The 23680-nt window shown below is 40.1% G+C and overlaps 1 long non-coding RNA gene and 1 pseudogene across 1 annotated transcript, besides 1 other annotated feature; one reads left to right on the forward strand and one right to left on the reverse strand.

The window, feature by feature from the left end:
* The first annotated feature begins 5322 nt into the window (after positions 1-5322).
* On the forward strand, positions 5323-12474 carry LINC01633 (long intergenic non-protein coding RNA 1633). Its single transcript, NR_146489.1, has 2 exons — positions 5323-5423; positions 11490-12474. It is a non-coding gene; the product is annotated as a long intergenic non-protein coding RNA 1633 (long non-coding RNA).
* RNA5SP72 (RNA, 5S ribosomal pseudogene 72) lies at positions 18747-18863 on the reverse strand (annotated as a pseudogene).
* Positions 20586-21785: an enhancer, noted in NCBI's record as "CDK7 strongly-dependent group 2 enhancer chr1:184985922-184987121 (GRCh37/hg19 assembly coordinates)". NCBI's record gives its function as "activates an origin of replication core promoter dependent on BRD2, BRD4, P300/CBP, MED14 and CDK7 cofactors, with strong dependence on CDK7, by STARR-seq in HCT116 cells {active_cell/tissue: HCT116}" and the evidence as "EXISTENCE:reporter gene assay evidence [ECO:0000049][PMID:35650434]".

Here is a 23680-nt window from a genome sequence, read left to right on the forward strand (position 1 = left end):
ATGGGGAAGAGACTTTACTAAATTAAGGATACTTAACTAGTGTCAATTAAAAAGTGTATTACTTCACGCATCAAAAAGCACTTAAAGAGCTATTCATTTTGCTGCCTAAAATACATAAAAATAAAATCACTTGGCTATTTAACAGATTACAGGGCTGTTAAATGAATTATATTAAAGACTTTAGCACTAAACCATGTCCACTCAAAGCATAAAATTTCCTTCACATGTTTAATGTTATATCTCATTTTCAAATAAATGTCGACCTTGAAACAATTTATTTTCTCAAGATTCTTCAAGAGTTATTTTATATTCTAGTGCCCTTGGACATTTTGCTCTTCATCTTTTTTATTCATCTCCTGGAGTCTGGCTTGCATTACTGTTAGCTGAAAATAATGAGCTACAGATTGTTTACTTCACACCTAATGGTACCCACAGTGAGAATGACAGCTTATTATAACTAAGCAAATTAAATTACTATAAGGTCAAATTAGTATGAGTCCATAGTAGCTAAATAATTACAGATCTGGGTCACTAGTCTATCTAACAAGAACATGCTGAATAATGAAATAGGTAACACTTAATAGCCAACTACATGTCTAGTCATTTCAAATACATATTCTCCTTTAACCCTTCCAACTTGGGCACAAGGTGAATGTAAGCATCCCTATTTTATAGTTTGGGAAATGATGCAGAAACGGTTAAACAACTGTCCCTTGCCCCCAAATTTAAACAGCTAGGAAGTGACAGAACTTGATATAAACTCAATTTTTTTCTGACTCAAAAGCCTATCCTCTTAATACTGAGATTTTTTTAGCACTACTGCTTTTCATTTTACTATACATGTTTACACCCCAGGTATTTTTATCCGAAATTGGAAATTAAGGCAGCCTCCTTGTTGACTCTGTAGTTTAGTCAGCTGAACAGATACAAATTAGGTAGCATTTTAGGCTTCTTATAAAGAACATGTCATTAGTAATTTTAATACTTCCATGAAAATACTTATTTTTCAGATAATAATCTTATTTATGTGTTAGATGGTGAGCTATACATATTTTCTAGACATTATTTACTGAGTCCTGGAAGGTTTTTATTTCTCCTAAAACATAAAACAGTATACAAAATATTTTAAAAATTCATTTCTTAGCAATTATTATTGTTAAGAAAAATTTCACTTTTCATCACATTCCTTCATTTCCTGAAATTTCATTTATACTATACAATAGCACTCCAGTCTTCTACTCTGTCCTTCCACACATAAACCCATACCCAGGATCAAAAACACAAGGATACCTGATGACTTCCTGTCTACAAAGATGTTAAAAGATAGTGATTTTTTTTCCGTCTTCTATAGAAGGAATTTCCAATACAGTTTAGTCAAAAGTCTCCCAATAGACAGAGTAATCATCTTTGGCTGAGCAATGTTGCTGACCTGAATTAAATAAATTTCAGGGACTTAATTTTTATAATATAGGTTTGCATTCATGGTTCAAGAAGGGCTAATGTTAAGTATGCAAATGAATTACAGTTAATTAATATAACATTTGTTACTGTATTAAAGACTAATGCTAAGCGAGGATCACCAAGGGCTGCTAGAATACCACAAATCTAGGCAATTGTTAGTGTTCTGTGCTTTGGATGTTTTGCCATTAGACTGACCAAAAAGACTTTAAAGTTACCGTACCCACTGTGCAGGAGGTTTCAGGGAAATAGTCATTTTTATACACTATTGGTTGTAGTGTAGTTGATACAACTTTTCATTTGGCAAGTTTAATGTTATCAAAAACTTTAAAACGTTTAAACTGTTTGATGACCAGTATTTTCACTCCCAGGAATTATTCTACCATAAAGACATATGCATATGTATGTTCATTGCAGCACTATTTACACTAGCAAAGACATGAAATCAACCTAAATGTCCATCAACAGTGGACTGCATAAAGAAAATGTGGTACATATATACGACGAAGTACTATGCAGCCATAAAAAGAACGAGATTACACGCTTTGCAGCAACATGGATGGAGCTGGAGGCTATCACCCTTAGCGAACTAACACAGGAACAGGAAACCAAAATCCACATGTTCTCACTTATAAGTGGAAGCTAAACACTGAGAGCACATGGACACATGGAGGGGAACAACAGACACTGGGGCCTTCTGGAGGGTGGAGGTTGTGAGGAGGGAGAGGATGGAAAAACTACCTATCGGGCCAGGTGCAGTGGCTGATGCTTGTAATCCCAACACTTTGGGAGGCCAACGCAGGTGGATCTCTTGTGTCCAGGAGTTCAAGATCAGCCTGGGCAACATGGTGAAACCCCATATCTACAAAAAATTAGCTGGGTGTGGTGGTGAGCACCTGTAGTCCCAGCTACTTGGGGAACTGAGATGGGAGGATTACTTGAGCCCAGGAGGCAAAGGTTGCAGTGAGCTGAGATTGTGCCACCACACCCCAGCCTGAGCAACAGAGCAAGACCCTGTCTCAAAAAAAAGAAAGAAAGGAAAGAAGAAAGAAAGAAAGAGAAAGGAAGGAAGAAAGAAGGAAGAAGGAAGGAAGGAAGGAAGGAGGGAAGTAGGGAAGGAAGGAAGGAAGGAAGGAAGGAAGGAAGGAAGGAAGGAAACGAAAGAAACACTACTTATCAGGTACTATGTTTATTACCTGGGTAACAACATAATGAGTACACCAGACCCCCATGACCACAAGTTACCTGTATAACAAACCTGTACATGTGCCCCTCAACCTAAAAGTTTTTTTAAATAAAGCATCAATGTTAAAGAAATTCATGTGTAAGTATATATGTAAATCTTATATATGCAAAATGTATGTGCAAGGATGTTCACCTTAGCTTATTTCCCTCCAGCTTTATTGAGATATAACTGACACATCAAAATTGTACATATTTGATGTATACATTATGATTTGATAAAGATATTTATATACATTGTGAAATGGTTATCACACAAGTTAATGAAAGCATTCGTCATCTCACACAGTTACCATTTTCGTGTATGTAAAAGGTGAAAACACTTAAGATCTATTTAAATGTTAAGTGATCTACTTAAGTGTTCACAGACTATTGATAATTTTTTTTTAAACTTTAAGACAACTTAAATATTCAACAGTAGGGGAATCCGTTGATTAGTTGGTGGCACCTTGACATGATGATATACAATATGAAAGGCAATATGGCCAGAGGACAGGCTTTCCAAACAGACAGTCTAAGGTTTCACCTGACTCAGTCAAATACTCGCTGCATGACTTTAACATCTCCTAGCCTCATATGCTTTTATCTGTAAGGTAGTGATAATTTACCTACTTTATATAAATACTACAAAAATTAAATGAAAAATGTAAGTTTCTAAACATTTAGCATATAATCTAATACTTGAGGGATATTATTTTCTGTATATTACGAATTATGTTTTAAATATGACTTCATAATATGGGAAAATGCTCATAATATACAATATTAAGATTTAAGCTATATACAGATAGCAATTACAATTATAGAGTTAATTTAAATATTTCTGTAACCTGTTGATATGAATACAACACTGCACAATTTTTCTTTCTCATTTTCCCCTTGCTGGTTAATGGCAAGCCCTTAGCTCTGTCTTCCCAGTTTCTCTTTTTTTTTAATTTAACTTTTATTTTAAGTTCAGGGAGACATGTGCAGGTTTGTTAAATAGGTAAATGTGCGCCTTGGGGGATTGTTGGGCAGATTACTTCATCACCCGGGTAATAAGCATAGTACTCATTAGTTATTTTTCCCGATCCTCTCCCTCCTCCCAGACTCCACCCTCCAATAGACCTCATTGTGTGTTGTTCCCCTGTACGTGTCCATGTGTTCTCATCATTTAGCTCCCACTTATAAGTGAGAACATGTGGTATTTGGTTTTCTGTTCCTGTGTTAATTCATTTAGGGTAACGGCCTCCAGCTCCATTCACGTTCCTGCAAAGGACATGATCTTGTTCTTTTTTATGGCTGCATAGTAGTCCATGGTGTATACGTACCACATTTTCTTTATCCAGTCTACCACTGATGGGCATTTAGGTTGATTTCCATGTCTTTGCTATTGTGAACGGTGCTGCAATGAACATATGCATGCGTGTGCCTTTATGACAGAACAATGTATATTCCTTTGGGTATATACCCAGTAATGGGATTGCTAGGTCGAATGGTATTTCTGTTTTTAGGTCTTTGAGGAATTGCCACACTGTCTTCTACAATGGTTGAACTAATTTATACTCCCACCAACAGTGTATAAACATTCCTTTTTTTCCCGCAACCTCGCTAGCATCTGTTATGTTTTGACTTTTTAATAATAGTCATTCTGACTGGTGTGAGATGAAATCTCACTGTGGTTTTGATTAGAATTTCTCTAATGATCAGTGATGCTGAGGTTTTTTTTTTAATATGATTGTTGGCCTCATTTATGTCTTCTTTAAAAAAGTGTCTGTTCATGTCCTTTGCCCACTTTTTAATGTGCCTTCCCAGTTTTCCTCTGACATTGCTGAGATGCCCCAGGGCATATCTCATCCACATTTCATTCCCACAGCACCCAGGCTACTGCTGGTGTTACCTTGTCCACAGCAACTGAGCTGGAGTTTTCTCAGCCTCCAAGACTAGTCCTGTTTTTAAATGTGATCTCTGCACTTCTTGGCTGTGGTACCTGAACCTAAACTACAATATTCTTTAACCGTACATGGGAAATTAATGCTGCCTGACTTCTACTAACTTTCCTAGTACTCCTCCTCTTCTTTCATTTCTTTTGTTTTGGTCATTTGTACCTCAGAATCAACACCTTATTTTATTCTACCCTGTTTTAAAATTGTCTTTGTTTCATACATACAGTTTTGCCATTTATTTTTCGATGTGTTTATTGATAGAGACTTCCATCTCCTTAGATGATAAACACTTTAGGAGAAGAGATTAGGTGTTATTTTTCTATAGCATACCCTACAATATGCAGCATAATTCTACCATAGACACAAAGTATAAACTGAGGACATTCTTTTTCACACAGGCTCAAAGATGCACTGAGGAATAAATTGTGTAATAGGTAACTATAACTCAGCAAGAAATTTCTTTCTTTCTTTCTTTTTTCCTAACTGAGATATCAAGGCAAAGAAATTTCTATATGGTAATAGGGCACACTCTTGCATGTCGACATATCCCTTTCACTCACGGTACTACCACCATCCAGCCCTAAAATAGTTGAAAGGCAGCAAGCCTCTGATCTGGGCTCCTCAGACCTGGTATATTCCTCTCCTCCATAGGCTGCTGAGGCGCTGATCTGAGATGTGCTTCCATAAGGAACAAGGCAGTAGAGGAGGAGCCAAGATGGCCAAATAGGAACAGCTCCGGTCTACGGCTCCCAGCGTGAGAGATGCAAAAGACGGGTGATTTCTGCATTTCCATCAGAGGTACCGGGTTCATCTCACTAGGGAGTGCCAGACAGTGGGCGTGGGTCAGTGGGTGTGCGCACCGTGCGCGAGCCGAAGCAGGGCGAGGCATTGCCTCACTCGGGAAGCGCAAGGGGTCAGGGAGTTCCCTTTCCTAGTCAAAGAAAGGGGTGACAGATGGCACCTGGAAAATCGGGTCACTCCCACCCGAATACTGCGCTTTTCCGACGGGCTTAAAAAATGGCGCACCACGAGATTATATCCCGCACCCGGCTGGGAGGGTCCTACGCCCACGGAGTCTCGCTGATTGCTAGCACAGCAGTCTGAGATCAAACTGCAAGGTGGCAGCGAGGCTAGGGGAGGGGCGCCCGCCATTGCCCAGGCTTGCTTAGGTAAACAAAGCAGCCGGGAAGCTCCAACTGGGTGGAGCCCACCACAGCTCAAGGAGGCCTGCCTGCCTCTGTAGGCTCCACCTCTGGGGGCAGGGCACAGACAAACAAAAAGACAGCAGTAACCTCTGCAGACTTAAATGTCCCTGTCTGACAGCTTTGAAGAGAGCAGTGGTTCTCCCAGCATGCAGCTGGAGATCTGAGAATGGGCAGACTGCCTCCTCAAGTGGGTCCCTGACCCCTGACCCCCGAGCAGCCTAACTGGGAGGCACCCCCTAGCAGGGGCACACTGACACCTCACACAGCCGGGTACTCCAACAGACCTGCAGCTGAGGGTCCTGTCTGTTAGAAGGAAAACTAACAAGCAGAAAGGACATCCACACCAAAAACCCATCTGTACATCACCATCATCAAAGACCAAAAGTAGATGAAACCACAAAGATGGGGAAAAAACAGAGCAGAAAAACTGGAAACTCTAAAAAGCAGAGCACCTCTCCTCCTCCAAAGGAACGCAGTTCCTCACCAGCAACAGAACAAAGCTGGACGGAGAATGACTTTGATGAGCTGAGAGAAGTCTTCAGACGATCAAATTACTCCGAGCTACAGGAGGACATTCAAACCAAAGGCAAAGAAGTTGAAAACTTTGAAAAAAATTTAAAAGAATGTATAACTAGAATAACCAATACAGAGAAGTGCTTAAAGGAGCTGATGGAGCTGAAAACCAAGGCTCAAGAACTACATGAAGAATGCAGAAGCCTCAGGAGCTGATGCGATCAACTGGAAGAAAGGGTATCAGCGATGGAAGATGAAATGAATGAAGTGAAGCTAGAAGGGAAGTTTAGAGAAAAAAGAATAAAAAGAAATGAGCAAAGCCTCCAAGAAATATGGGACTATGTGAAAAGACCAAATCTACGTCTGATTGGTGTACCTGAAAGTGATGGGGAGAATGGAACCAAGTTGGAAAACACTCTGCAGGATATTATCCAGGAGAACTTCCCCAATCTAGCAAGGCAGGCCAACATTCAGATTCAGGAAATACAGAGAATGCCACAAAGATACTCCTCGAGAAGAGCAACTCCAAAACACATAATTGTCAGATTCACCAAAGTTGAAATGAAGGAAAAAATGTTAAGGGCAGCCAGAGAGAAAGTTCGGGTTACCCTCAAAGGGAAGCCCATCAGACTAACAGCGGATCTCTCGGCAGAAACTCTACAAGCCAGAAGAGAGTGGGGGCCAATATTCAACATTCTTAAAGAAAAGAATTTTCAACCCAGAATTTCATATCCAGCCAAACTAAGCTTCATAAGTGAAGGAGAAATAAAATACTTTACAGACAAGCAAATGCTGAGAGATTTTGTCACCACCAGGCCTGCCCTAAAAGAGCTCCTGAAGGAAGCACTAAACATGGAAAGGAACAACTGGTACCAGCCGCTGCAAAATCATGCCAAAATGTAAAGACCATCGAGACTAGGAAGAAACTGCATCAACTAACGAGCAAAATAACCAGCTAACATCATAATGACAGGGTCAAATTCACACATAACAATATTAACTTTAAACGTAAATGGACTAAATGCTCCAATTAAAAGACACAGACCGGCAAATTGGATAAAGAGTCAAGACCCATCAGTGTGCTGTATTCAGGAAACCCATCTCACATGCAGAGACACACATAGGCTCAAAATAAAAGGATGGAGGAAGATCTACCAAGCAAATGGAAAACAAAAAAAGGCAGGGGTTGCAATCCTAGTCTCTGATAAAACAGACTTTAAACCAACAAAGATCAAAAGAGACAAAGAAGGCCATTACATAATGGTAAAGGGATCAATTCAACAAGAAGAGCTAACTATCCTAAATATATATGCACCCAATACAGGAGCACCCAGATTCATAAAGCAAGTCCTCAGTGACCTACAAAGAGACTTAGACTCCCACACATTAATAATGGGAGACTTTAACACCACACTGTCAACATTAGACAGATCAATGAGACAGAAAGTCAACAAGGATACCCAGGAATTGAACTCAGCTCTGCACCAAGCAGACCTAATAGACATCTACAGAACTCTCTACCCCAAATCAACAGAATATACATTTTTTTCAGCACCACACCACACTTATTCCAAAATTGACCACATAGTTGGAAGTAAAGCACTCCTCAGCAAATGTAAAAGAACACAAATTATAACCAACTATCTCTCAGACCACAGTGCAATCAAACTAGAACTCAGGATTAAGAATCTCACTCAAAGCCGCTCAACTACATGGAAACTGAACAACCTGCTCCTGAATGACTACTGGGTACATAACGAAATGAAGGCAGAAATAAAGATGTTCTTTGAAACCAACGAGAACAAAGACACAACATACCAGAATCTCTGGGACACATTCAAAGCAGTGTGTAGAGGGAAATTTATAGCACTAAATGCCCACAAGAGAAAGCAGGAAAGATCCAAAATTGACACCCTAATATCACAATTAAAAGAACTAGAAAAGCAAGAGCAAACACATTCAAAAGCTAGCAGAAGGCAAGAAATAACTAAAATCAGAGCAGAACTGAAGGAAATAGAGACACAAAAAACCCTTCAAAAAATTAATGAATCCAGGAGCTGGTTTTTTGAAAGGATCAACAAAATTGATAGACTGCTAGCAAGACTAATAAAGAAAAAAAGAGAGAAGAATCAAATAGACACAATAAAAAATGATAAAGGGGATATCACCACCGATCCCACAGAAATACAAACTACCATCAGAGAATACTACAAACACCTCTATGCAAATAAACTAGAAAATCTAGAGGAAATGGATAAATTCCTCGACACATACACTCTCCCAAGACTAAACCAGGAAGAAGTTGAATCTCTGAATAGACCAATAACAGGATCTGAAATTGTGGCAATAATCAATAGCTTACCAACCAAAAAGAGTCCAGGACCAGATGGATTCACAGCCAAATTCTACCAGAGGTACAAGGAGGAACTGGTACCATTCCTTCTGAAACTATTCCAATCAATAGAAAAAGAGGGAATCCTCTCTAACTCTTTTTATGAGGCCATCATCATCCTGATACCAAAGCCTGGAAGAGACACAACCAAAAAAGAGAATTTTAGACCAATATCCTTGATGAACATTGATTCAAAAATCCTCAATAAAATACTGGCAAACCGAACCCAGCAGCACATCAAAAAGCTTATCCACCATGATCAAGTGGGCTTCATCCCTGGGATGCAAGGCTGGTTCAATATACGCAAATCAATAAATGTAATCCAGCATATAAACAGAACCAAAGACAAAAACCACATGATTATCTCAATAGATGCAGAAAAGGCCTTTGACAAAATTCAACAACCCTTCATGCTAAAAACTCTCAATAAATTAGGTATTAATGGGACGTATTTCAAAATAATAAGAGCTATCTATGACAAACCCACAGCCAATATCATACTGAATGGGCAAAAACTGGAAGCATTCCCTTTGAAAACTGGCACAAGACAGGGATGCCTTCTCTCACCACTCCTATTCAACATAGTGTTGGAAGTTCTGGCCAGGGCAATTAGGCAGGAGAAGGAAATAAAGGGTATTCGATTAGGAAAAGAGGAAGTCAAATTGTCCCTGTTTGCAGATGACATGATTGTATATCTAGAAAACCCCATTGTCTCAGCCCAAAATCTCCTTAAGCTGATAAGCAACTTCAGCAAAGTCTCAGGATACAAAATCAATGTACAAAAATCACAAGCATTCTTATAACAACGGACAAACAGAGAGCCAAATCATGAGTGAACTCCCATTCACAATTGCTTCAAAGAGAATAAAATACCTAGGAATCCAACTTACAAGGGATGTGAAGGACCTCTTCAAGGAGAACTACAAACCGCTGCTCAAGGAAATAAAAGAGGATACAAACAAATGGAAGAACATTCCATGCTCATGGGTAGGAAGAATCAATATCATGAAAATGGCCATACTGCCCAAGGTAATTTACAGATTCAATGCCATCCCCATCAAGCTACCAATGACTTTCTTCACAGAATTGGAAAAAACTACTTTAAAGTTCATATGGAACAAAAAAAGAGCCCGCATTGCCAAGTCAATCCTAAGCCAAAAGAACAAAGCTGGAGGCATCACACTACCTGACTTCAAACTATACTACAAGGCTACAGTAACCAAAACAGCATGGTACTGGTACCAAAACAGAGATATAGATCAATGGAACAGAACAGAGCCCTCAGAAATAACGCCTCATATCTACAACTATCTGATCTTTGACAAACCTGAGAAAAACAAGCAATGGGGAAAGGATTCCCTATTTAATAAATGGTGCTGGGAAAACTGGCTAGCCATATGTAGAAAGCTGAAACTGGATCCCTTCCTTATACCTTATACAAAAATCAATTCAAGATGGATTAAAGACTTAAACGTTAGACCTAAAACCATAAAAACCCTAGAAGAAAACCTAGGCATTACCATTCAGGACATAGGCATGGGCAAGGACTTCATGTCTAAAACACCAAAAGCAATGGCAACGAAAGCCAAAATTGACAAATGGGATCTAATTAAACTAAAGAGCTTCTGCACAGCAAAAGAAACTACCATCAGAGTGAACAGGCAACCTACAAAATGGGAGAAAATTTTCACAACCTACTCATCTGACAAAGGGCTAATATCCAGAATCTACAATGAAATCAAACAAATTTACAAGAAAAAATCAAACAACCCCATCAAAAAGTGGGTGAAGGACATGAACAGACACTTCTCAAAAGAAGACATTTATGCAGCCAAAAAACACATGAAAAAATGCTCACCATCACTGGCCATCAGAGAAATGAAAATCAAAACCACAATGAGATACCATCTCATACCAGTTAGAATGGCAATCATTAAAATGTCAGGAAACAACAGGTGCTAGAGAGGATATGGAGAAATAGGAACACTTTTACACTGTTGGTGGGACTGTAAACTAGTTCAACCATTGTGGAAGTCAGTGTGGCGATTCCTCAGGGATCTAGAACTAGAAATACCATTTGACCCAGCCATCCCATTACTGGGTATATACCCAAAGGACTACAAAATCATGCTGCTATAAAGACACATGCACACGTATGTTTATTGCAGCATTATTCACAATAGCAAAGACTTGGAACCAACCCAAATGTCCAACAATGATAGACTGGATTAAGAAAATGTGGCACATATACACCATGGAATACTATGCAGCCATAAAAAATGATGAGTTCATGTCCTTTGTAGGGACATGGATGAAATTGGAAATCATCATTCTCAGTAAACTATCGCAAGAACAAAAAACCAAACACCGCATATTCTCACTCATAGGTGGGAATTGAACAATGAGAACACATGGACACAGGAAGGGGAACATCACACTCTGGGGACTGTTGTGGGGTGGGGGGAGAGGGGAGGGATAGCACTGGGAGATATACCTAATGCTAGATGACGAGTTAGTGGGTGCAGCGCACCAGCATGGCACATGTATACATATGTAACTAACCTGCACATTGTACACATGTACCCTAAATCTTAAAGTATAATACTAATTAAAAAATAAAGAAAGAAAGAAATGCTTAGTAAATGGGAAAAAAAGGAACAAGGCAGGTAGAGGCACTGGAGCACTACATTCAACATGTATTACCCTGTATTTTTAATCAATTCATTAATATTCTTTCTTCTGCTTATTTGCTAGTTTCAAGTAAAAATGAAAATCTCAACCGTGTCATTATTCATGCCAAGCCTTAAACCTGGATCAAGCTTTTCTATCTAATGTCACTCATCAAAGACAATTGTAAATCCTTCATCTACCTTATCTTATCTAATACTCACAAAAACAAAGGGTGATATGGCAGAGACAGTTACAGTGCTCACCAATGACTGCAAAATGTCCGCATCTCCCAGCCTCACTTGCAGATAGATGGGGACCATGGAACTAGTTCCCACCAAAGAACTATGAGTAGAAATAGCATGTGTCTGGAGCCAAAGAAGTTAAAAGCTGACATGCCTCCTCCATCCCTCTTTTCTCCTGCAATAATTATCTTGGCTTGGAAGCCACAAGAGAAGATGAGCTGACAGATCCACACTGGAATCTACAAGAGTGAAAAATATAATTTCATTGTGTTAAACCACTAAGATTTCAGAATTTGTCTGTTATAACAGCATAGCCTATCCTGTCCTGACAAACATAGATAATATTTGGAATATGTAATAACTAGTACAGAACAGGCACTAACATATTAGAATGAATGCAATGACCAATGAATGAACGTCATCGGCTGTACATGACTGACATGGCCATATGAGTCCATACCAGTTAAATAGCGATGAAAACAACTCTACAAATTTATCCCAGTTTTATAATTGATGAAACAGAAGCATTGAGAGCTTGCCTAAGACAATGACTTGTAAATGGCAGAGTAGGAATTCAAATCAGCTGTTTGATACATAGACCATTCTCTTTCTATCTCAACATTCTGCTTCCTACTTGTTGAATGATGCCTAAATTACCCGAACAATTAATTCATCATGACTGCAGTAGAAGTGTCCGAATACTTCATTGTTTATTTAAACCATAGGGCATGGTCCAATCGTATATGTTTATTCTTGTTGAATTTTCTGTAACTTGAACTCATTCTTGCCTCTGTATAGGATGTCAGTATTATATTTTGCTTTTCCTTTCAAATTTGCCTTTTGTCATTATTAATCATTAACCCTGAAACTGTATTATTTAAGGGGATACATCCAACTTTATGACATAACATATATTAAAAATGCAAGAGAAAATTAAATTGGATGAAGTGCTTGGCTTTTGGCATAGTTCTTTTGCTCCTGCTGCTCATTCTTCATTTAAATTCATAAGTCTCTTTTCTCCATGACAGGATAATCATCTCCACAGCAACTAACTATTATATCACAAAGGACTATGCCTGTGAGTGAGAACAGATCAGCAGGAGCTGAGCAACACTTAAGCAACAGAGATTCTATTTGCACACAAATATCTCTAATTATAATAAGCTAAGGAAGAAATATATCATTCCCTCCCCAACTCCCCCCCATAATACAAGCAGAGCTCTCTCTACATGGTTTCTCTCATTAAAAAATGGTGCTTTCAACCACAAATGTGTTTAACAAGAGCATATTCCCATATAGAGATGATATCACCTGTTACTGTCAGGCAAATGTGTGTCTAGACTGAAAAGCAGGCACTGGTTGAATTAAAATCACACAGACTTACTCCACGATTTAGAGTAGAAGTCAAAGCAGGATCTGTGTGTTACACAGATCCTGTGTAGACAGCTAATAACATCCAAAAAAAAAAAAACAATAAACAAAAACCTCTTTAAAAGTAAAAGGGAAGGTATAAAAATTGCCACTTGGCCAAAAGATATATATTACCAGAGCTTCTCTTTCCAAAGAGGATACTTAAAATGGTGTGGTCAAGAGCTGGCATAATTTGACTAATCATAATAATTGTAAGATACTTTAAATTTGAAGTGGGCTTGAACATTTTACAACACAATCTCAAAGTAGCACTTTTACTGGCAAGCAGAATTCTCTAGGAGAGCTGAAACTGCAGTATTACACTGGTGATCAAATCCAAGAGAACAGTGGATGTCTATCAGATTCTGCCTATGACCCACTATTTTACACTGGTTTCATAGAATTTAAAATTGAATCATATTTATAATCTATAATACAGGATCTTACAAGTGACATGCTTGAAGAATATCAATGTTGCCTCTCCCACTAGATGATAAGCATCTTGAGGGCAGGCAGTATGCCTTGTATCATTATGCTATTTTCTATAACACTAAGGGCAATCTATGATAAAGAGCTATTGTCTCAATTTAATATTGAAATGACAAGGTCCTCAGACATATGACAACAGGAACAAAAATAATTGAAGTTGAGTCTTTTTTTTTTTTTGTCCCAAAGCTCAAATGAGTTGTGTAGTGAAGGGCTCCAAAATTCACTACTCTATTTGTGTGTGTATGTGTGTGTGAGACAGGGTCTCACTCTGTCACCTGGGCTGGAGTGTAGTGGCATGATCATGGCTCACTGCAGCCTGACCTCTCCAGGTTCAAGTGATCCTCCCACCTCAGCCTCCCCGGTAGCTAGGATAGGACTACAGCCATGTGCTACCATGCCTGGCTAATTTTTGTATTTTTTGTAGAGATGGGGTTTCACCATGTTGCCCAGGCTGGTCTCGAACTCCTGAGCTCAAGCAATCTACTCACCTCAGCCTCCCAAAGTGCTAGGATTACAGGTATGAGCCACAAGTCTCCACACCACTCTTAAATAGGCATTGTCACAAAACTATTATATGTCCCATCTATTCTCCTAAAAGTCCATAAGTCTTTCCAGAAAGTCATTTGTTTTCCCATAAATACTCTTCTCCTCCCCTTCCCTGTTGAAATGGCATATAGGTCCCAATTTATGTGTAGTCCTGTACATAAATGATTCAATCTATTTTCTTGCTAATCTGTTCTTTGTCAGTTTCACTTGAAAGCCTCCAAAAATTGAATCTAAGAGGGTAAAGGAAAATGTGTTCTCCCTGGCAGTTGTAAGGGGACCACCACTCTGGATTCTGTCATCACTGGAGCCCTCCCAAGTCATCTAACCCATTCATCCAGTTAAATGTCATCAGGAGAATGACATTGAACCCTCAGCCAGATCCCATTATCAGCCATCTCAAAGAAGCTTCTTCTTATCACCTAAAATCTCTAGCCCACCTCCCACCCCCACTTTCATGCCCATCTCTTCTCTCTTAATCATCTTTATTGTCACTTTCTTTGTGCTGATGACTTGATGGAGGAAGTCAGCAAACTTGGTTGACATGGCTTTCTATAAATTCACACTTTTCACTTCAATGGGGCCCATACTGCTGCCCAATAATCTGCCCAGTAATGCCCAGTAATTTAGTTATTTTTTACTGATTCCTTAAAATCATCTATGTCAGGGATAATATTCAAAATTTTTAACAACTAGTATGACAGAGGCATCAACCTTAAATTGATATGGCTGTAGAGCAGGGTCTGAGAGAGGACCCGGGTACGTTTTGCATTTACCCTTTCATTGCTGATTGAGGGCCTGGGGGAGAAGCTGAGGTTACCTGAGCAGCAGATACTTGCCAACTGATAGGGAAGTGTGTCAATATTTTAACAACCAGTACAGCTGTATGATTTGAAGCAAGTAAATATCAGCTCTACTACAAGTTTTCCAAAAATGATCTTTCCTTTTTTTCTTGCCTCCATTCAACATCTACTTTCCTTTTTATCTGTTAACAAACATTTGTTGAACAGCAGGCACCGTTCTAAGTAAACAAAAAAGACAAAAACGCCCCGTTCTTATGGTCTTACATTCTAGCGAGGGGTGACAGAAAACAAATACAGTAGGTAAATTATATCGTATATTTGACAGTAATAAGAGCTATGGAAAAAGAGAAAAAGAAGAAACTAAAGGGGTTCCAGATTGCAGAGAGCAGGTTAAGATATGGTGCTAGAGTTGGCCTCACTGAGAAGAGGACTTGAAGGAAATGGGAGATGAACTGCATGGGTGACTGGGGGCAAAGCATTTGAGACAGAGGAAACAGGCCATGCACACGCTTATGTTCTAGGGACTCATCCTCATCCAAAGACGATTAACCTCCAACCTCCTTCTTTATAGAGATCAAAGTTATTTGTAAGTAATCTCTTCAGTTTTTCCTCCTTTCTACTTCTAAAATATCTTTATATTTTTTCTCTTCTCCTTGGCATCTTAGAGAAATAGGCATCCCTCATTCCAACGTCTGTTTTCCCTTACTTTCTCCCAGGACTTCTTCCTCTCACTTACTCCCCTTTCCACCATCTACAATCTCTTCCAATTCTGTCTCTTTAGATATTACGTTTTTGTTTTTGTTTTTGAGACAGAGTTTCACTCCCATCACCCAGATTGGAGTGCAGTGGTGCGATCTCGGTTCACTACAACCTCTGCCTCCCAGATTCAAGCGATTCTCCGGCCTCAGCCTCCCAAGTAGGTGGGACTACAGGCATGTGCCACCACACCTGGCTAATTTTTGTATTTTTAGTGGAGATGGGGGTCTCACCATGTTGGCCAGGCTAGTCTTGAACTACTGACCTTAAGTGATCCTCCTGCCTCAGCCTCCCAAAGGGCTGGGATTACAGGCGTGAGCCACCATGCCCAGCCTTGATATTAAGTTACATTTAAAACACTGCCACTCACCCTAAATATTTTTTCCAATTACAGCCTACTTCTGCCAATCAAAATCAAAGCCTTCAACTTCCTCATCACACACGTTCTCCTTAGCCTGTCACTTCTACCTTCTACCCTCTTCAAACAACTTAAACTGATCTCTGGAAAATCAGCAAAGACCCCAACTTCAAACTGCACCTGTTTACAGTTCTGTCAACTGACAATTGTCACCATCCAGGGAAGACTTGAGTTTGGAAGGAAATACCTACCTACAATTACTTGTATTAAAATAAATATCCAGTTTGTTAAAATTGTACGTTTTAAAACAAAGCTTTAAAATTCATTTTTTTGCTGTTGTAGTAAAATGCACATAGCATAATATTTACCATTTTAACCATTTTTGAGTGTACAATTCAGTAATATTCAGTACACTGACAATGCTGTACAACCACCACCATTATCCATCTCCCGAACTTTTTTATAATTCCAAACAGAATCTGTGTGTTCATTAAAGAATAACTCTCTATTCCACCCTTCCCCCTCGCCCCTGGTAATCACTATTCTACTGTCTGTCTTTATGAACTCAACTATTCTAGGTACCTCATAAAAGCAGAATAAGGGCCTGGCATGGTGGCTTATGCCTATAATCCCAGCACTTTGGGAGGCCGAGGCGGATCATTAGGTCAGGAGATCGAGACCAGCCTGGCCAACATGGTGAAACCCCGTCTCTACTAAAATACAAAAAAATAGCCAGGTGAGGTGGTGCTCGCCTGTAGTCCCAACTACTCTGGAGGCTGAGGCAGGGGAGTCATTTGAACCCAGGAGGCTGAGATTGCAGTGAGCCGAGATCGTGCCATTGTACTCCAGCCTGGTGACAGAGCGACACGGCATCTAAAAAAAAAAAAAAAAAGCAGAATAAGACCAGACACAGTGTCTCATGCCTGTAATCCCAGCACTTTGGGAGGCTGAGGCGGGAGGATTGCTTGAGATTGGGAGGAGCAGCCAAACTGTTTCCCGAAGCAGCTGTACCATGTTAAATTCTCACCAGCAATGCACAAAGGTTCTAATTTCTCCACATCCTCATGAGCACTTCTTATTTTTCTTTCTTCGTAATAGCCATCCTAATGGGTGTGAAGTGGTATCTCACTGTAGTTTGGGTTTGCATTTCCCTAATGACTAGTAATGTTGAGCATCTTTTCATGTGCTTGTTGGCCATTGTATAGTTGTTTGTAGAAAACTCTTTTCAAGTCTGTTTCGTTTCTGAACACTTTTCCATGTTTTAATTGGGTTGTTTGCTTTTTGGTTGTTGAGTTGTAGGAGTCCTTTATATATTCTAGATATTAATCCCTTACCAGATATATGATTTGCAAATATTTTCTCCCGTTCTATCGGTTGTCTTTTCATTCTCTTGACGATGTTCTTTGATGCACAAAAGTTCTTAATTTTGATGAAGTTCTATTTATTTTCTTTTGTTGTTTCTGTTTTGGCTGTCATATTTAAGAAATCTTTGCTAAATCCAATGTCATAAAACTTTTTCCATATGTTTTCTTCTTTTTTTTGAGACAGAGTCTTGCTGTAGAGATGGGGCTTCGCCATGTTGGCCAGGCTGGTCTTCAACTCATGACCTCAAGTGATCTGCCCATCTTGGCCTCCCAAAGTGCTGGGATTACAGGCATGAGCCACTGCACCTGGCCCCTTCTAAAATAAAACTTTATTATTAAGTTCAACTTCTTCTATTTATAAATCCAATTATTTTAAAAATAAAGAACAATTTGATTTGTTCTTAGGTTAATATGCAATTTGTTATTAGTAATAAAAGACTAAATTCCCCTAAAATATTTTAAACTATGTTTTTGTATTTTACACATTTTATTCAAATATTTCAAATATCTGACAGAATAAACTTTCAAACCTAAAAAACACAATCTACCTAAACATTTAAATAACCAACAAACACATAGATTTTCACAATAATTACAAAACATATCTCTAAACTGATGAAAAATAAGCATTCTATAAATTTGAGCCACACTATTACCTTATATACATTTCCACGGTTTCACAATCACTTATTCAACAAGAGTAGCAGACTTTCCATCTTATTCAGCCTAAAATTTGGAGCTGCAGGAGTGCCACAGATTTGGGTTCTGTCAGGGATTCTGAACCTGGGGCCAGTTCCTGAGCCCCTTCTTACAGTAATGGGCCTCCTGTTGTTTGCCCATTTTCTTGCAACCTAGTGTATCAAATGCCCTCTTACCCATTTAAAAAAAAAAAGGCAACCTGTTTTACAACATTAATTGCGTATTGTAACTCTGGCTCCTTTCTGCTCAACTGACTGGGTTCTGTATCACTTTCTGTGTCTTTCTTTCGCCTTTTTTTTTCTCTCTCTGTCACCCAGGCTGGAGTGCAATGGTTCAATCTCGGCTCACTGCAAACTCTGCCTCCCGGTTCAAGCGAGTCTCCTGCCTCAGCCTCCCAAGTAGCTGGGATTACAGGCGCCTGCCACCACACCTGGCTAATTTTTCATATTTTTAGTAGAGAAGGGGTTTGCCATGTTGACCAGGCTAGTCTCAAACTCCTGACCTCAGGTGATCTGCCTGCCTTGGCCTCCCAAAGTGCTAAGATTACAGGTGTGAGCGAGCACACCCGGCCGTTTGGACTTCTTTTTATTGACAGACCCCTTCAATTTAAGACAGCTTAGACTATTATTGACTGTCCTCTCCTTTTTAAACTAAAAAAAAATTAATTAAAAAAAAAAAGCCTATAGCACCAGGTAATCCTAGGTGGTCTCCCATCCAGTACTAACCAGGCCTGACCCTGGTTAGCTTCTGAGATCAGATGAGATGGGCACATTCAGGTTGGTATGACTGCAAACATGGCTTCTCCTATTTAGAAACTATTTCCCCTGCTTTCTTGAGGCTACAGTCTCATAGGCTTCCTCTTATGTGACTACACTGCATCTTTCATTCTCCGATCCTCTCACTGATTCTTCCTTCCCACACAGTATAAAAGTAAACTTCCTCTAAGGCTCAGTTCAGAGCCTTCTAGTTCCATCTCCTCTCTTGGGATCGTCACCTCCTTCACCTTTCAGCTTATGACCACGACCTTCCAATCTGCATCTGTATTTCCAGTTTCTTTCCTAAGCTCAGGTCTTTGTTTTCTATTTACAAAAGTGGACATTTGCACTTAGATTTCTTACCTTTAATTGAAACTCAATTCATCTAAAATAAAATTCTTTATTTTTTCCACAAACTAGCAACCCCTCATAATTTCCCTTATTAGTACTAGCATTTTGTGAGGCCCAACACTTGAAAAGCATTGGCCTTATAAAAAGAGATAAGAGGGATTTTAAGGTCAAAGGAGTAGCAGGAATGATGGAACGAAATTAACGCATCGGGACAGAAGCTCCAAAACACTAGAGTTTACGGGTTGCATTTGACAGGGCTAATGTTCCACCAAAATGGCATAAAGACTACTTGAAGTCATTTGGAATACAGCTGATGCGATGCAGAAAGAAGCCTTTTCTGAGCTTCCCTTATCTGATAAAGGCAGAGCTTTTAGAATGAAGTTGTCATAAATCTCCTCTCTCAGAGACCTTTCAGCCAGCTAGGACACTGACCTTTACCTCCAGGGATGAAAATTGTATGAACAAACTTTATTACCAACTGTCTCATTTGTTTCCCTAGAAAATCTATCTTCTGCCCAATCCCTCTTTTCTTTATTCAGCCATTACCATTATTCAGCCATATAAACCATTACCCCCGCTATTCAGATAGCCACTTGCTTGTGTGTTGCTGCAAGCATGCGAATAAATTTTGTCTTTTCTCCTGTTAGTCTATTGTCAGTTAACTTTTAATCCACAGTCCCTCAGTAAAGTTGGTGGAGAAAAGGTTTTCCTCCCAACACATTCCCAATGTGTGGCTTAATCTCTAAGGAACAAAGTTTTCCCAGACCAAATTAAAGCTCTGTAACTTTATCTGTCAGGGAGCAACCAGCTTCCTGGTGTCTGAAGATTTTCCCAATAGTTAAAAATATGTACATACATTTTAGGCCAGGCTTGGTGGCTCACGCCTGTAATCCCAGCACTTTGGGAGGCTGAGGTGGGTGGATCACCTGAGGTCAGGAGTTCGAGACCAGCCTGGCCAACATGGTGAAACCCAGTCTCTAATAAAATACAAAAATTTGCCGGGCATGGTGGTGTGTGCCTGTAATCCCAGCTACTCGGGAGGCTGAGGCAGGAGAATCACTTGAACCCAGGAGGCAGAGGTTGCAGTGAGCTGAGATCACACCACTGCACTCCAGCCTGGGTGACGGAGCAAGACCTTGTCTCTAAAGAAGAAAAAAGCTATTTTAACAAAACAAATCTGAAGTGCTTTTCCTATCAGAAACACTAACATCAGAGAGACCATAGCTACCCAGAGTAGGGGTTCTGGTACACTCAAACAAAACCTTGGTGATCTGAGTCCTCTCTTACTCTTACTTCTCATATTCAGTCTGATCCCAACCCAGATTTTTCTTTCTATGTCTCTCATATGCCTGTGTTCCTTTCTGTGGTGAGATATGAGTCTGAAGAAATCATGGTGGAAGGCAAGGAGGGGCAAGTCACATCTTACGTGGATGGTGGCAGTCAAAAAAAAACTTGCACAGGGAAACTGCCATTTTTAAAAGCATCGAATCTCCTAAGACTCATTCACTATCATGAGAACAGTGCAGGAAAGACCCACCCCCCGTGATTCAATCATCTCCCACTGGGCTCCTCCCATGACAAGTGGGAACTGTGGGAGTTACAATTCAAGATGAGATCTGGGTGGAGACACAGCCAAATCATGTCACCAGCATTCCTCCTGTTTCAAGGTCTGCTTCCTGATGTAACTACTTGGACAGAATATGCACACCTCCACAAGGACAAGCAGCTGATGGTTGGCAGGGCATAGTTTGAAGCCATTACTACTCAAGGATCATTCTTCCAAAGGAAACACAGTCTACAGAAATGCAGCTCTACCTGCATCAGTTTTTTATTCCTGCACAGAATACATTAGCCTTTAGAGCCACGATTCTGAGAAATAATCCTGACACCCCCTCACTGGATTAAACCAGTTCCCCTTGTCCTCGGAGACCCTAAAAGCTAAGAAAAAGTTCACTGAGATACTGGCCATGCAGAATGGAAGATGGTTATGCCTCAGTATACCCCTTCCTTATTAACCTTTAACCAGAATTCTTTCCTAAGGAGTAAGCAGAAACCAGCTCTGGAAAACAAGAAATGAATGACTCATTCCTTTATTGCTGTTAGCCAGTCATCGCAGGCCATGACTGGATGTTTTGCAATTTCTGTACCACAACTGACCAGCATTTCTTCTTAACAAGAGACCTTCAACCATGGGGGGGGTACTGGTTGATCTATGGAAGATGCACAGTGAGGGTTTTCCTGTCCTCTGCTTCACATGTTGACATCAGAGAGCTAAAAACTCCACCCTTAGGTCATGGTGACACTGCTATTTTTTGAACCTGCGATCCATGAAGAGGCCTAAAGCTCAATTGTGCATATGCATGTTTCTCCTTTCATAAACATTCATGATGCCTCATATAGCTTATTAAATATATCTATTTGGGTACCCCATCCAGCATAAATTCCTGTTCCTTTTACCCCTCCCTTGAAGCACTGTGTCTTCATGTCCACTGGAAGCTCCGCTTCCTCCTACGGGTTTTGGTACCTTTAGGAATAAAGCTCTCTATTTTAAATTTATAGAATATTGTTACTTTTGTGGTCCACAGTTCCTCAAGATCTCCATTAAGATGTCAGAGTCTTAGTGTCGAGTTGTGGAAATGAGAAACACACAGAGACAGTTGCTGCCATCATTAGCCACCTGCCAGCATCTGTCCTCACACTCTGCCTTCCTGTTTCTGTAGCAGAATTACCCATACCCTTATCTAAAGCTGTTCTTTCATCTGTACACTGGAGCTCAACCCTTGTCACCTACTCAAGGGTATCATTCCAGTAATTCTCTCTTCTCTCTTTCAACACTCTCAGGTTTTTCCTCTATTAGACTTGTTCCCAGCAGCATACAAATTTGCTCATGGGTCTGCCTTCTTAAAAAACACCAACACCGGCCAGGCATGGTGGCTCACGCCTGTAACCCCAACACTTTGAGAGGCCAAGGCAGGTAGATCACTTGAGGTCAGGAGTTCAAGACCAGCCTGGCCAACATGGTAAATCCCCATCTCTACTTCAAATACAAAAATTAGCCAGGCGTGGTGGTGCATGCCTGTAATCCCAGCTATTCAGGAGGCTGAGGCACAAGAATTGCTTGAAACCAGGAGGTGGACGTTGCAGTGAGCCAAGATCGCGCCACTGCACTCCAGCCTGCGTGACAGAGCAAGGCTCTGTCTCAAAAAAAAAAAAAAAAAAAAAAAGGAAGGAAAAAGGATGTATCACCTTTGCTATTATGATCACCACGCCTGGGCAACAGAGCAAGGCACCATGTCAAGGAAAAAAAAAAAAAAAAAAACAGGCCAGGTGCAGTGGCTCATGCCTATAATCCCAGCACTTTGGGAGGCCAAGATGGGCAGATCACTTGAGGTCAGGAGTTCGAGACCAGCCTGGCCAACATGGTGAAACCCCATCTCCACTAAAAATACAAAAATTAGCTAGGCATGGTGGCACCCACCTTTAATCCCAGCTACTCGGGAGGCTGAGGCAGGAGAATTGCTTGAACCTAGGAGGCAGAGGTTGCAGTGAGCCGAGATTGTGCCATTGCACTCCAGCCTGTGTGACTGAGCGAGACTCCATCTTAAAAGAAGAAAAAAAAGAAAAAAAACCTAAACACCCACCAACACCAATGAAATGAAAAAACAATGTTTCCATCTCACGACTCCTTCCCTGGTAGGATTTACCTGCTTCCTTTTGCTAGTCTAGATTGTGGTTCGCTCCTATTTCTGTTCACCCATTCTCTCTTAAACCCATTCTAATCAGGCTTTTGTCCCAATCAAAACTGCTTTTGTCAAGGTCACCAATGACCTCCACGTGGTTAAATCTCATGGTCTAATCATCTTCTACCTGGCCTGTCAGCAACATCTGACAATAGATCATTCTGTCTTTCTAACAGCCTTTCTTCACTTGATTTCCAGGATGCCCCACTCTCCTCTTTTTCACTTTCCTTACTCCCTGTGCCTTCACAGGCTCCCTTGCTGATCTCTTTCCCAGCCTCCTAATGTTGGAATACTCCAGGGCTCAGTTTTTTCTGGCTAAGAAATATAAGAAAGTACATGGGTCATTTGGCAAGCATTCACTGTATACTCTGCCACACTTTGTAATATTTTATATAGCTAATACATTTACTATGACAGTTGTTTATTGTTTATCTTTCCAAAAGCACTACAAGTGTCACAAAGGCAGGCACTTTTGTTACTTTGTGCTCTGACGTATGTCAAGCGCCTAGAAAAAAGTGCCTGTCACAAAGTAGGTGCTAAATAAGTATTTGTTGGATGAATAAATGTAGCAGGGTGAAGTGGAAATCTAAACTTTTTGTTGTTAACAAAAACAGATATTATTAAAGCTGTCAGCTACTTCTAAGTCTAGTGGTAGCTATTTAGAAGCTACTGTGGTGGTGAGCTTTGTTCAGAGATCAATGATGTGACCTGTTCCTTTTAGTTATGTGGATGTGTGACAAGGAGTGAACACTTATTCTCAGGTTC

This window comes from Homo sapiens, chromosome 1, assembly GCF_000001405.40.
Source record: "Homo sapiens chromosome 1, GRCh38.p14 Primary Assembly".
NCBI classification, from domain to species: Eukaryota; Metazoa; Chordata; class Mammalia; order Primates; family Hominidae; genus Homo; species Homo sapiens.